We start from the raw sequence: 14,842 nt of genomic DNA on the forward strand, positions 1-14,842 counted from the left end.
TGTGGCAGGGGATGACACCACTTCCCTTCAGAGCAAGCCTCTGTTTCTTCGGTAAGCGTGGGAGGCCACTAAAAAATTAATTGCAGCAAATTGAAAAAAGTCTCGGGCAACATCACAAATGCTAATACAGCAAGGAAAGAGCAGCATGATTGCCTTTTAAAAAGGCCTTTTCATTGATAGTATTATCTCAAATGTCTTCATAAAAAGAAAGGGTGCCATCCCTGGTTGCAGAGATCTCCTTAATGAGCTCCAATTTTAAAGGAACATGAGGAAGGAGGAGTCTGCAAATGGAGATGAGCAGGGCCACAGTGAGCTGGGACTTGTGAAGTGTGCCAAGTCCATCTGCAGCATCTACAGAGACTTTGTCAAGGATAGGCAAGAGACGAAGTGGAAGCATTTGGAATAGATACCTTGGGTGGCATAGGTGGCACAATATTATCCCATCAGAGCAAGAAATGTTTGCTACTAAGGAGAATGTTTTAAGCTGGTGTGTGAGTTATCTTTTGCTGTGCAACAAATAACACACTTAGGACCTTGAAACAACACACACTTGTTAGCCCACAGTTGCCATGGATCAGGAGTTCAGATACAGCTTAACCAAGTCCAGCCCTCAGGGCTTTGCAAGGCTATAATCAAGGTGTCAGGCTGTGGTGTCTGGAGCTGGGGTCCTTGTCCAAGATCATATGGTTTTGGGCAGGAATTAAGTCCTTGCAGTTGTAGCACTGAGGCCTTTGTGCTCTCACTGGCTGTCAGGCAGGGGTCACTGCTTCCAGAAGCTACCCTCAGGCCCTAGCCTGTGACCCTCTCACAAAATGATAGTTTGTTTCTGCAGTGCCTTTCAGTTGTTCCAGGAGAGTGTCTCTCTCTCTTTCTCCAGCCTGCTACCATGGAGTCTTATATGACATAATGTAATCATGAGTGGGTGACAACTCATCTTTGCCATCTAAGGTAACGTAATCAAGAGAATGACATTCATCATATTCACCGGTCTCACCCACACTCAATGGGAGATGATTAGACAGGGCATGCATGATGCATATACCAATCACCGGAGGAGCTTAGGGTTCAGCCTCTCATAGCTAGACAGGAAGACACAACATGATTAAGAGGGCCAAAACCAAGAACGGTCACAAGATGTAATCTACAATTAGTTTAAACTTAGTGCAGCATTCTAGATGCAGGTGAGAATTCTAGATCCATTCAAGTTCACTGAAAGGCTGTACCCAAAAACTGCAGAGAACCACTCCTAGTCATCCCGAAATACAGGCACATCTCCTCAAGTCTGGAGTTGCCACCAACTTGAAAATAAGGCAAAGAAGTAGACTCCAAACCAAAGACTCACGGTTTAGTTGTGAATTCTAAAATACATTAGACAAATTTTTTTTCAAGCTCCTAGGGAATGTTATATTGATTACCAGGAGCTAATGCTGATTCACTAAAACAATTCCCTTCAGTCTAACCCAGTTCTTTCTTGATGCAGCCTTCAGTAGATAGCTGAGAAAATACTGAAAACGTGATCCCCATTGACTGTAAGATAACTCACACAGGTGCTCTTTGTGGGGAAAGTGAAGAAATATTATCTGAAGTAAAGTGCTCGCTGTTTTTTTAACTGCTTTACCTAGAAGTGGGTCAGCTATAAAGTGGGATGGATATTAATCTGAAGAATGGCATTTTGCAGTGAGAGGAAGGACTGTGCACTCAGCACTGGCCCACTCAATACTAAAACGGATGTTTTGGAATGTTTGTGGATTGCCTATTTTGGGAACAATGGTCCATAAAATAAATCACGGCCTGGAGATTCAATATCATCCCTACAAGCTTAGCCAGTTGGCAGCAGTAAAATCAATTGAGCTTTCATATCATATGCTGCCTCGCATACAGTTGACCTTTAACTCAATACTATTTAACAGAGATCGAAGTAAACTCCTCTATATAGGCTCAGAACTCCACCAAGGAAGTACACTATGAGGAATCCCTGGCTTAACAGCTTTCATGTGACAAACATCAATAGTTCTAATGGCCTTAAGGCACAGTATTAACAAGAGCCAACAGGGAGAATCCACAGTCTACAGAGAGTTACAGCAGTGGACATTGCCTGTGCCCTACAATGCGAACAGATGGATAAATGGGTGTGTGTGGGGGGGGCGGGTGTCTCATGGTCAGATATGTGTGGAAAGTGTCCAGTCAAATGAAGTTAAGCAAGTTTCATTACTGTAATCCTTCCAGATGTCAGCATGTATTTTGAATATCTAAGGGTGGACAATGATTTCACTGAGAATTTCATGGAACTAGATTCTGGAAGCACTCAGGGAAAAACTAAATTATCACAACACCAGGCTGTCCTCATTAGTATGCAATGTCTATATTTAAAAAGCTAAAAGTCAAAGGTCACCTGCCCTGGACACAAGACTTCTGTCTTGCAGAGGTCAGTTCTAAGGGCCTGGAAAATTCCAAGTTATTCTGGCTAACCAGAGCACACCCAGAGGGGAAAGGCAGATGCAGCACAGGATACGCTCAAGAGGATCTCCCTCTGTCTGTCCAGGTGCACTGCTATAAAGAAACACCTGAGACTGGGTAATTTATAAGGAAAAGAGGTTTATTTTGGCTCACAGTTCTGCAGGCTGTACAGGAAGTGTGGTGCTGGCACCTGTTTCTGGTGAGGGCCTCAGGAAGCTTCCAATCATGGCGGAAGGCAGGAGAGCAGACGTGTCACATGGTGAAAGCAGGAGCAAGGTAGGGGAGAAGGTGCCACACACTTCTAAACAATCAGATCTCACACGAACTCAGAGCAAGAACTCACTCATTACTATGAAGAGGACGCCAACTCTTTCATGAGGGATCCACCCCCATGACCACCTCCAACCAGGCTCCACCACCTCTAGCATTGGGGATCGTATTTCAACATAAGACTTGGAGGGGACACACATCCAAACCATATCATCTCCCTTCCTGTGTCTTGCCGTATCTCATTTTTTTATTATTATTATACTTTAAGTTTTAGGGTACATGTGCACAACGTGCAGGTTTGTTACATTTTGCCTTGTTCACAAGACAGCCTTATGAGCTGCAGAGAATGAAGCCATGTCATCCTTTCATCCCTTATGGTCTCTCTGCCCTCATATATGCATAACTATCAAGAGATAAGATGGTCTCAGCCTCTTAACAAGTTCTCAGTAGGAGGCCTGACCATTTGGGAAGCTTTTCCTTCCAAGTATTCATGGGCTCTCAATTTAAAAGCAAGGACATTAAATCTACTCAAGGCTCCTGACACATTCCTGGTTCCCTCCTATGGTAGGCTGCTTCTAAAGCAGCTTCCAAGAATCCCACCTCCCTGTAGAAGCCTCTCTGCCTGTCTGTGGGCTGGACCTAATGACTCACTTTTAAGCAATGAATATGACAAAAGCAATGTGACTTCTAACATCAGTTGTAAATGTCTGTAACCAATCTATAAATACATAAAGCAGATTCATTGTTGCTGAGGGCTGGGATGGGGGTCCGAGGGCTAGGGGTTGGGGGGTAATAACTAAAAATATATGAAGTGTCTATCTACAGCCAGACCACCCTGAACATGCCTGATCCCAATTGATCTTGGAAACTAAGCAGGGTTGGGCCTAGTTAGAACTTGGATGGGAGACCACCTGAGAATGCTGGGTGCTGTAAGCTTTATAAGATAAAATAAAATTTAAAAAATAAATAAATATAAAAATGAAAAGATATGAAGTTTCTTTTGAAGGTAACAAAAATGTTTTAAAATGTATTGTAGTGATGGTTGCATAAATCTGCAAATATACTAATAACCATTGAATTGTACAAATTAAATGGGTGAATAGTATGGTATGTAAATTATATCTCTTTTTCATAGCAAAACTTTGATCACATTTTATTAAATATAAGGTAACTGTAAAAAGCATTTTAACGTCTCTTAAATCAGTTTGCATTTTACAATCAATAATGTCTTTTGATCACTGTTGGGATAGACTAAGAGCATTTTAAATTAAAATTTCTTCATGAGATTTTAGACCACATGGGTGGTGTCAACTCAGAATATAAATCTGCTTGCGGTTCAAAATCTTTTTCCCCTCCCTCTACCTAGTGCTATGATTGAGACATGAAAGTTTCCTTGCTGTTTCTTTTCACATGGTAGTTTCGTTTATTTCTATCCTAGGCCTCTGGTTGTGAGCTGCCCTGTAGAGAAGCCCATATGGCAAGGAACCGAAGGCAGCCTTGGGACAACAACCAACAAGGAACTGAGGCCCTCGAGCCAATAAGCCTGCAAGCAAAGGAATCCTGCCAATAACACGTGCGTGAGCTTGGAAGCAGATCCTTCCACAGTCAAGTCTAAAGATGACCACAGTCCTGGCCAACATCTTCAGATGCTGAGGACCCAGCTAAATGACCGCCAGATTCCTGACAGAAAAACTTGAGATAAAGCCTCTAAAGTGGGGGCCATTTGTCACACAGCAACAGATAGCTCATATACTTCAAAAGAGTTCCTCGGTCCTCTCCTCAATTTTTTATTCTTTGCCAGACCTCTTTTTAGCTTCCAGAAAGGAGTCTTACAAAAACCTCCTGGTGCAATGCTTCATGCAGGGATTATGCAGACCATCCCCGCCCCCACCCCTTGACTCTCACCACTTTCCTTTCCTGGAATGTCCCCTTCTGTCTCCTCAACATGCATATGATGTTGAGACTTCCTTCAGGCCTTTGTGTTTTTTATGAAGTGCAAACCCACCTTCCAGCCATACACTCTCTTTCCGAGAGTGATTTTACCTGTCTGAGAATTTCCAGGACACAAGTTGACACATTGAGCAACAATATCTTACGGTATCTTTAATGTGTAGGTGACCAATCAGGAAGATTGCTTTTAAATCGCTTTTCGGGAAAAAGAAGTTTATTTTCTCTCAATATTTATATTTCTGTATAAATTTTTAGAGATTTGCATTTCTTTTATCCATTGCTCTGATTCCATTTTTGTTTGTTCTTCAGTATCCCATTTTATATAACTAAGGAATTCCCATTTTTGTCCTTTTCAGAGTTATATTATATGGCACTGTATTTTTTCACATATTTAAACTTATTCTTATCTAATTGATATTAATTTAGACTTCCAGTTGTCTGCTATGTTGTAATATTGTACTTATGTTTAATTATTCCACATCTATGTGTGTATTTTTAGTACCCGAAATACCATCTAATTTCAGCCACTATAGCTACTTCATCATCCATTTTTGGATTCTTAAGCATGTCTTGCCCAGAACCTTTAAATGGATTTGCACTAGATTTACTACCTTTCTCGGCCTGAGAAAGTTATTACAGTTTTTAAAGCCCCAAACTTATTACCAGACATTGGTAGCAAAGGAAAATTGGTTCAAGTTTTGGGAGGCTCTAACTCAAGATGAACTTCATTTCATTCAAGGTTCTTCTTTATCATCCTTGGATGAGATGAAATTTATGTGAAAGTGTCCTGGAGGCAGAGGGTGCAGTGAGCTGAGACTGTGCCACTGCACTCCAGCCTGGACGACAGAGTGAGACCCGGTCTCAAAAAAAAAAAAGGATATACCAAAACATAAGTCAAGTTGTAAAACTGAGTATGAACATCAATGTATGGATCTAGATATCAAATGTTCAAAGCATTGAAACCTATGAAATTCCAGAAAATAAATCTTTATAAAGTATATTGTTTCCTGACCAAAATCTAAAAATGTTCTTCTATTTATTACACTACTAGACAAAACTCTAAAATAGATATTTATATAGTACAATCTTGCCAAATGGCTCTGTGATGGAGACTCGGTGACTCATTGCTTTAAAGAAAGAGCCAGCCCAGAATGTGCCGAAGTCTTTAAGATATCCATATAACAAACAGTGTTGAAGATAGAGATGTCATGTACAAGGAAATGAGAAAGATACTCAAAATAAAGAGAAAATATTTTGCATAGATAATTGAAATGAATGTGCTTTCATTTCCAAATATTAAACTAACACTAATCATGATAAGAGCTAAATCCCCAGGCAGGGCTTAGAAACCCAAGAGGCATGTGGGGCCCATTAACCAAAAGAGGCTTAAGCTCGGGCGATGACAGTATCTGCAAACAAATACATTTATTAAGAATGAAAGTAGTTCAGCGTCCTTGAAGAGCAAACTTCCTCTAAAGTGAAGTAGAAATTTATTTCATTAGCGAAAATGTCTATTTAGCACCAAATTGGCACAGTGTCCACATTGCCTGAGCAAACTATAAGGGGAAATTGGTGTTTATTTACATCCCATTTCTCTTCCCAAGGGATTTGAAAGACCAGGAGGAAGCTATTAAGGAGACAGTCGTATTTTTTCCATTGTTATCCTCATTTATGATATAGCCATTGCCCCGTCACTAAAATAGCTGCTGAGCCACTTGGTAAGGCAAAAGGGAATTCTAGGCAATACGGCAGACTAAGCTGACACAGACAGACCCTACTCGTTCTGCAAAGACTTTGCAAAACTGGACAAAATATATGCATATTCCAGCTTGGGGCAGAGGGCAGACTGGGTGGGGAATGTCCTAGGTACCAGACACAAAGAAGCGATCAAAGTAGAGTCATAAGTGGCAGACAGTAACAAGACCACAGTGGAGTGTGTGACTTGTATGATCGGATCTGTGGACTGGGGTCTCGGTGCTCGCAAGAAGACAGGAGGCATGGCCTTGGGCCTATACAAAGTGACTAAGCTAGTACTGGTCTCAGGGAAATCCAGAAGTCCACATGTGTTACCCACCCATGAAATAGAGATGGGAAGAACTATCCACTGGCCCAGGGACACGGAGGCTTTTCAAATCCCCAGGGCCTGGGTGACACAGGTGGAAGCAAAGAGGCTTCATATGACATAGAAAATCTGGCATCGTGCTATGTTGAGGGTACAGGCCCCCAGCTTTGTTCATTTCGTTTGGAACCTGAAACCAAGAAATTAACATTAAAAACTCAAGGGGGACCAGCAGGAGCAAAAGAAAGAAGAAAGAAGGCAAGCACAAAAGGAGCTGAGAGAGCACACAAACATGACAAGCAGGGAGAATGAGCAGCCGAGGACTGGGAATCATCATGCCACCTAAAAAAGACAACACAATAAGCTTCTAAAAAGGAGGGAAGAGGAAAGAGAAAGGATAGAAACCACAGTGCAATAACAAGGTATTCTTTTTTTAAGAAAAGAACTATTTAGAGAAACACTACACAGAATTCTAGAAATGCGCACGCATGCCCACACACAGAAACGTACATAGCTTCATTGGCATGAAAAACTCCATCGAGGAATGGAGGAGCTCCAGTTTCCAATAATACAGGCTAAAGTCAACCTCCCATTGAAAGCAACAAAAGAACCGGCTTGCTTGTAGTATCTCAAATCACCTGGAAACGTGGAAGACCTCAGAAGCTGTGGAGGCCTCCCGGGCTGATTTTTAGGCGCACACTGGGACTAGGGAAGAAAATAGGTATCAGACACCAAACCTTTCGTGCACGCCTTCACGTCACTGTGACACTAGGAACTCACACCTGGCCTTTTGTTCTCATTCTAAGAGAAATCTAATGGGTCCCACAGAAGACCTTGCCCTGTACAGTGGTGAGAACAGACAACAGATAAATTAACTCTACTGCCCGCTCCTTAGTCCAGAGGACTTGATCTGAGTGGAAAGGAAAAGGGAAAGAAAGCAAAAGAGAAGGACACACACATGGAAGTTGTGACCACTGACCCACTCTAACTTGCTCAAGAAAAAATAAGCTAAGGATACCTTCTGTCACCTTTTCTACTCACCATTGTTCTGGGAATCAGAACACACACATAGTTTTAATAAAAGACTTCACATCTTCATAATTTTCAGACAAGATGACTGTCAAATCACAAAAATTCTAACTGAATCTACAAAGAAGCTCTTGGAACTAATAAGAGAGTTTGGCAAGATTTTTGGATACAAGGTCACTAAACAAACATCAACAGGGTTCCAGCCACAATCAACCAGAAAAAATATGTTAATAATCCCATTCACAATAGCAACAAAGAGTGTAAGTTACCTAGTCACAAATCACATAAAGAAGGTACAAGATCTATACGGAGATTATGGTATGGACATAAGAGAAGATCCTGCAATCTCACTCCTGGGTTATACCCCTAGAGAAATGAAAACTTCTGTATATGCATGTATAGAGCAGGTCTAAGCATAATCACCCAAACCAAGAAACAACAAAAATCTCCTTCATCTTGGTGAATAAATAAACAAAATGTGGCCTATCTATACAACAGAGTGCTATTCACCAATCACATGAAATGAACTATTGATACAACTTGGGTGAATTTCAAAGGCATTATGAGCTAAAGAAGCCAGTCTTAACACAAGTTCATTTATATGACATTCTCCAAGAAAAAACTGTAGCGCTGGAAGACAGATCAGCCATTGCAGGAGTTGGGATGGAGAGGACGTAACTACAAAGGAATAGCATTCAAGAGTTTCAGGGCTGGCAGAACTGTTCTATATCCTCATTTGACTGGTGGCTACATGTATAAAATTAATAGAGCTGTGTGCATTAAAAAGTAAATTTCACTGTATGTTAATTGAGAAAATAAAATTTTAAAGTACAAGAACAGCCGGGCGCGGTGGCTCACGCCTGTAATCCCAGCACTTTGGGAGGCCGAGGCGGATGGATCATGAGGTCAGGAGATCGAGACCATCCTGACTAACACGGTGAAACCCTGTCTCTACTAAAAATACAAAAAATTAGCTGGGCGCAGTGGCGGGCGCCTATAGTCCCAGCTACTCGGGAGGCTGAGGCAGGAGAATGGCGTGAACCCAGGGGGCAGAGCCTGCAGTGAGCCGAGATCACACCACTGCACTCCAGCCTGGGCGACAGAGTGAGACTCCATCTCAAAAAATAAATAAATAAATAAATAAATAAATAAAGTACAAGAACTTTTTTTAAATCCAGTTTTTAAAAAAACTGGATCTGATGTGATGGGAAGGTAATTCAATATGGTAAAGATGACATTTTCCTCAAAATGAATCTACAAATTCAATGAATTTCACAAAAACCCAGCAGAGTTTAATAAAACTTGACAAATTTATATTAAAATTTTTAATGAAGAATAAAGATCTAGGCATAACCTTTTGGAGACAATTTGAAGAGAGGAAGGACACGGCTTACCACATACCAAGAAATATTATAAAGCCCTAGTAGTTAGAACCATGAGAAAGGGGGATAGAGATAGATAAACAAAACCTGACAGTGTGTACAGTTACACCAGGAAATTTATAAATTGCTGTTCATGCACTATTCACAATAGCAAAGACATGGAATCAACCTAAATGCCCAACAGTGATAGACTGGATAAAGAAAATATGGTACATATACACCACAGAATACTATGCAGCCATAAAAAAGAACAAGATCATGTCCTTTGCAGGGACATGGATGGAGCTGGCAGCCATTATCCTTAGCAAACTAATGCAGGAACAGAAAACCAAATACCGCATATTCTCACTTATAAGTGGGAGCTAAATGATGAGAACACATGGGCACATAGAAGGAAACAGCAGACACTGGAGCCTATTGGAGAGTGGAAGGTGGGAGGAGGCAGAGGATCAGGAAAAATGACTGATGGGTACTAGGCTTAATACCTGGATGATGAAATAATCTGTATAACAAACCCCCACGACACAAGTTTACCTATGTAACCAACCTGTACATATACCCCTTAACTTAAAATACAAGTTAAAAAAATATATAAATTGGTGTTCATTTACATAGATTCAAATATCTCTCATCATCTATCAATCTTCTATTATCTATCATCTATCTATCATCTCTCAATCATCTAGCAATCATCTGTTGCTTATCTATCATCTGTCATCTATGTATCATTTATTTATTTTCTATCAACTATCTATCTACCTAACCATACCCCAGGCACAAAAATAAATTCTAATCAGATTAAATTCCTAAAGGTGAAATGCAAAACATAAAAAAAGTACTAAAAATCCAGAAGAAAAAAATATGACAGAAAAAAATAAAGGATATGAAAAAAGTATGCCCCAAGGGCCATCAGTCAAATAAAAATTAAAGCAATACAGTTTTACTTCACACCCATCAAATATGTGAAGATGCAAATGTTTGGCATTCAAAACACTGGCAAAGATGAAGAAATGAACTTTTTAAACAGACGTTATCACAGCAGTTTTGGATTAACAGAAAAGCTACAGAAAGTATGGACTTCCCATCTGTTACCTTCCACCACCTCCACAGTCAACATTTTGGTACTTTTGTTACAACTGATGAATTAACATTAAGAAATTTATTAACTAAAGTCCATAGTTTGCATTGAAGTTCACTCTTTGTGTTATAGTTTTTATGAGTTTTGACAAATGTATAATAACTTGGGTCCACCATTACAATATCACGCAGAATAAGTTCACTGCACTGAAAACTCCCTGTGTCCAGACTGTTGCTCCCTTTTTCCCCCTGAAACCCTGGTAATCACTGATCCTTTTACTGTCTCTATAGTTTTCCTTTTTCCAGAATGACATATCTTTGGAATTATACAGTATGTAGCCTTTTCAGGCCAGCTTCTTTCACTTAGCAATATGCATTTAAGTTTCCTCTTATGTCTTTTGGTGGCTTGATAGCTCATTTCTTTATACTGCTAAATAATAGTCCATTGTCCCAGTGTGCCACAGTTTGTTTATCTACTTACCCACTGAAGGACATATTGGTTTCTTACAAGTTTTGGCAATTATGAATTAATGGGCTTCTTATATATCACTGGGAGAAAGACAAACTGCAACAACAGCTTTGGAAGATAAGGTGGCAACATCTAATGCAGTTGAAAAATTCTTAAGGAAGAATAAAGACCTAGGTATAGCCTTTTGGGGACACTTTGAAAAGAGGGAGGAAGGGCATGTCTTACCACATACCAAGACTTACTATAAAGCTCTAGTAGTTAGAACCATGAGGAAGGGCCGTATACACAGAGCTCAGCACTTCCATTCCTAGGTACACATCACAGAAAAACTCTTGCCAGGAAACATACAGAAAAATGTCCATTAAACACTTTCTGTAATGGGGAAAATTGCAAACAAACTAGACGTGTGCCAATTACTGTATTGGGATAGGAGACAATTCTCCATGAGGCTCTCTCAGATGTCTGCACATTTTTTCAGCAGAGGCACTGGCAGCTTTTGTTCTGGATGATCTTTTCAAGAGTATTTGTATGGTGAACAGCCTCAGAAGATAGTAATAGTGTCTCCCTCTGGAGCAAAGTTTAAGCAGACTGGCTTACTGACCATTGTAAAAGATTTGAGTTTTCTAACTTCAGGGTTCCTCTGCTATGACACCAACTGACTGCATGTGTAGCAAACACGTGGACTCCTCCACATCACCTCCATGGAATTCCAGGCACAAAGAGAACTGGTAAAAACATGAAGCTCCTGCTGTTCACTGTGACGTGAGTAACAGAGTCCATTGTCTGATCCAAGAGTCTCATGATTGCTGTCAGTATCCAAGGTACTGTGGCTGGCAAAACTCCTCACATGAAAGTAGGGTAAAATCTTAGACCCTCCTCAGTTCTTGAGAAATGGGTAAATAAAATTTTGAAGTGGTTATACAACAGGCTGCCAAAGAACAGAATAAATAAATTAAAACAGCAGGTATCCACACAGATAAATTTCAATAATAGGCCAGGCACAGTGGCTCATGCCTGTAATCCCAGCACGCTGGGAGGCTGAGGCGGGCAGATCACCTGAGGTCAGGAGTTCGAGACCAGCCTTGCCAACATGGCAAAACCCCATCTCTACTCGAAATACAAAATGAAATACAAAGGTCAGCCCAGCTACTCAGAAGGCTGAGGCATGAGAATCACTTGAACCCGGGAGGTGGAGGTTGCAGCGAGCTGAGATCACGCGACTGCACTCCAACCTAGGAGATAGAGCGAGACTCTGTCTCAAAAAAAAAAAAATTTTCAATAATATATATATACACACATATATATATATACACATTTATACATATATACACATATATACATATATACACACATATACATATATACACATATATATATACATATATATTCATATATATGTGTATGTATATATATATATATATATATTTTTTTTTTTTTTTTTTTTTTTTGAGATGGAGTCTTGCTCTGTCGCCCAGGCTGGAGTGCAGTGGCACGATCTCGGATCACTGCAAGCTCTGCCTCCTGGGTTCACGCCATTCTCCTGCCTCAGCCTCCTCAGTAGCTGGGATTACAGACGCCCGCCACCACGCCCGGCTAATTTTTTTTTCGTATTTTTTAGTAGAGACGGGGTTTCACCGTGTTAGCTAGGGTTTCACCGTGTTAGCCAGGATGGTCTTGATCTCCTGACCTCGTGATCTGCCCGCCTCAGCCTCCCAATCAATAATATATTTTTAGGTGAACATAGCTAAACCACAAAATGATATATCCAGCACTTCCATAAAATCCGTGTTGCTTTGAGCACATATACATGTGTAAAATACAAACGGGCACTGACATATAATCTTCAGGATAATGCTTAACTCAGGAGAAGCAGGATGGAGGAACTGAAGCAGAATTTCTTAAATCTTATGAAAATATGTAAAAATGCTAACATGTGTTCCTTCCATCAGCTGGGTACAGAAGTTTGCTGTATAGATCCACAGTCTTTATATGCAATTCTGAAAAATTTGTTCTTAATTCTCTTTCAATGTATATACATACATACACACACACACACACATATTTTATAATTTAAAGGTACTAAAATGAGGGCCAGGTGTGGTGGCTCATACATGTAATCCCAGTACTTTGGGAGGCTGAGGTGGGAGGACTGCTTGATTCCAGGAGTTCAAGACCAACCTGGGCAACATAGTGAGACCCCCCATCACTACAAAAGAGGAAATAAAAAATTAACCAGGTGTGGTGGCATGCACCTGTAGTCCCAGCTACTCAGGAGGCTGAGGCAGGAGGATTGCTTGAGCCCAGGAGGTCAAGGCTACAGTGAGCCATGCTTGCACCACTGTACTCTAGCCTTGGGGACAGAACAAGACCCTGTCTCAAAAAAAAAAAAAAAAAAAAAAAAAAAAAATATATATATATATATATATATATATATATATGAAAAAGTAAAAAGCTCTAATACTAACTAGCTCTACCACTTTTAAAATGTAAAACCAAATGTGCATTGCAGAACGCACATGATTCTCTACAAAACAGAGCCCAGGGCATAGGTCAAGGAGCCCTGGGATGCATCATGTCAGCCTGGTGTCCACTCCTAGCCTCATAGTGGCAAAAGGAAATCTGTCCCTTATGCACAGCATGGAGAAGACCATTCTGGAAACATTAATCCATGGTTTTTGTAATTCCTAGAGCATATTCTAGAAAACAAATATATTATTTTAAAACTTGGTAAGATAAAATGATACAAGATTTTTCTGTAACTATGAAAGAGCTAATGCTTATTTCTGTTCATATTGCCCTTATGGTCCCTGCTTGACTATTAGATTCATGCCTGATCTAAGAGCTCCAGGTCCCCCAAGTGATGAATAAAGCTGAGCACTTGTGTCTTTGGGTAGGATGTCTCTTACACAGCTCTTCAGAAGCTTTTGGCCTCTCTGGTCTCCTGTGCCATCACCCAGCTCTGCACAGGCTCTGAGAAGCTCCATGCAGCTGCACCCTGATACCTGTCAGATTCATGCCGGGAGCCTCCTGCCTTCCTTCTCCCTAAGGGCATCTCTGCTGGGGTCATGGGTGTCAGCTGACTGCACACTCCGCGATGCAGGGGAATAGTTGCCTGCTGAGGGCGAATGTTTGACCAGAGGGGTTTGGAGCCAGGTGACAGATGCTCTCCCTTCCTCACCCTGGCTGGCTGGTCTGAAAAACATTCCTACCCTTCAGAGACAGTGTCATTGAATGGAGTAACCAGTAGCCCATGGTAGTGACCCATTGGGTAAATCGCTCCTGAATTAGATCCTCCTCTCTTCCTGCCCAACCCACCTTGTCCGTGGTTCCTGCCCATGGGGGTTACTCTCCGCAATAAAATGTCCTACCTCAGGCTCATTCTCTGAAAAAATTAAGCCAAAATAGCCTCATGCCAGTCTCACATTTCCAGGTAGGTCCAGGTATTTTGGGAAGAAAGGAGGCTTTTCTCCTAACTCTAAAAAAAATCCCAGATAACCTCAGAAACTCAGAAAACCATTTCTGACTTGCTATCCATTTCTGTGCGCTACTTTTTACCTATGGCAGTAAAGATCTTCTCTGAAGATCAAGTTTTCTTCCAAAGCACTCACCTAAAGTGTCCCTGTTGGCAAACAATTCACAAACCTGCCTCCGCTGTTGTCAAACGACCAAAGCTGACTTATTAAGACACATCCGTGGTTTCCGGGCATTTTAATAGATGGTAGCTCGGTTTCATTCATGCCTGTCGGCGGCATACCCTTTGATCAGAATGAGCACTTGCTTTGCTTCTCTGATCCTAACGATGAACTTCTACCCATGCATCCGATTTGCCTGACAAGAGCCACACACTGGGGCTTGGACTTCACTTCTGTGACTCCTAAACGGAAATAAAGCAATTGACCTGCGTGAGGAAACACCCCCGGGCTACACTCCTCCGCTTGGTGTCCTGCTCAGCGCCTTACACCACACAAAACCAAATCCAAATCATAATTGAGCCACAGGACGTCTTCCTCTGACTTTCCATGCTAGCACTCATTCTAACTTCTCTTCCTGCATGTTCTGTGAAGCAATAAATAGAACTAAGTGTCTTTTTAGGACATTTTTATTGCAACATGTTGTTTTTTTTTTCTGCCTCCTGCCATCTTATTATGT

The 14,842-nt window shown here is 41.0% G+C and overlaps 1 pseudogene, besides 4 other annotated features; it reads left to right on the forward strand.

The window, feature by feature from the left end:
• Positions 203 to 1,402: an enhancer, noted in NCBI's record as "CDK7 strongly-dependent group 2 enhancer chrX:9098527-9099726 (GRCh37/hg19 assembly coordinates)". NCBI's record gives its function as "activates an origin of replication core promoter dependent on BRD2, BRD4, P300/CBP, MED14 and CDK7 cofactors, with strong dependence on CDK7, by STARR-seq in HCT116 cells {active_cell/tissue: HCT116}" and the evidence as "EXISTENCE:reporter gene assay evidence [ECO:0000049][PMID:35650434]".
• Positions 3,545 to 3,663, forward strand: RNA5SP499 (RNA, 5S ribosomal pseudogene 499; annotated as a pseudogene).
• Positions 4,401 to 4,901: an enhancer, noted in NCBI's record as "H3K27ac hESC enhancer chrX:9102725-9103225 (GRCh37/hg19 assembly coordinates)". NCBI's record gives its function as "activates a minimal SCP1, AML or CMV promoter by ChIP-STARR-seq in naive H9 embryonic stem cells {active_cell/tissue: H9 hESC(naive)}" and the evidence as "EXISTENCE:reporter gene assay evidence [ECO:0000049][PMID:30033119]".
• Positions 13,792 to 14,316: an enhancer, noted in NCBI's record as "NANOG-H3K27ac-H3K4me1 hESC enhancer chrX:9112116-9112640 (GRCh37/hg19 assembly coordinates)". NCBI's record gives its function as "activates a minimal SCP1, AML or CMV promoter by ChIP-STARR-seq in primed H9 embryonic stem cells {active_cell/tissue: H9 hESC(primed)}" and the evidence as "EXISTENCE:reporter gene assay evidence [ECO:0000049][PMID:30033119]".
• Positions 14,317 to 14,842: an enhancer, noted in NCBI's record as "NANOG-H3K27ac-H3K4me1 hESC enhancer chrX:9112641-9113166 (GRCh37/hg19 assembly coordinates)". NCBI's record gives its function as "activates a minimal SCP1, AML or CMV promoter by ChIP-STARR-seq in naive and primed H9 embryonic stem cells {active_cell/tissue: H9 hESC(naive and primed)}" and the evidence as "EXISTENCE:reporter gene assay evidence [ECO:0000049][PMID:30033119]".

The sequence above is a fragment of the Homo sapiens genome, chromosome X (genome assembly GCF_000001405.40).
Source record: "Homo sapiens chromosome X, GRCh38.p14 Primary Assembly".
NCBI classification, from domain to species: domain Eukaryota; kingdom Metazoa; phylum Chordata; class Mammalia; order Primates; family Hominidae; genus Homo; species Homo sapiens.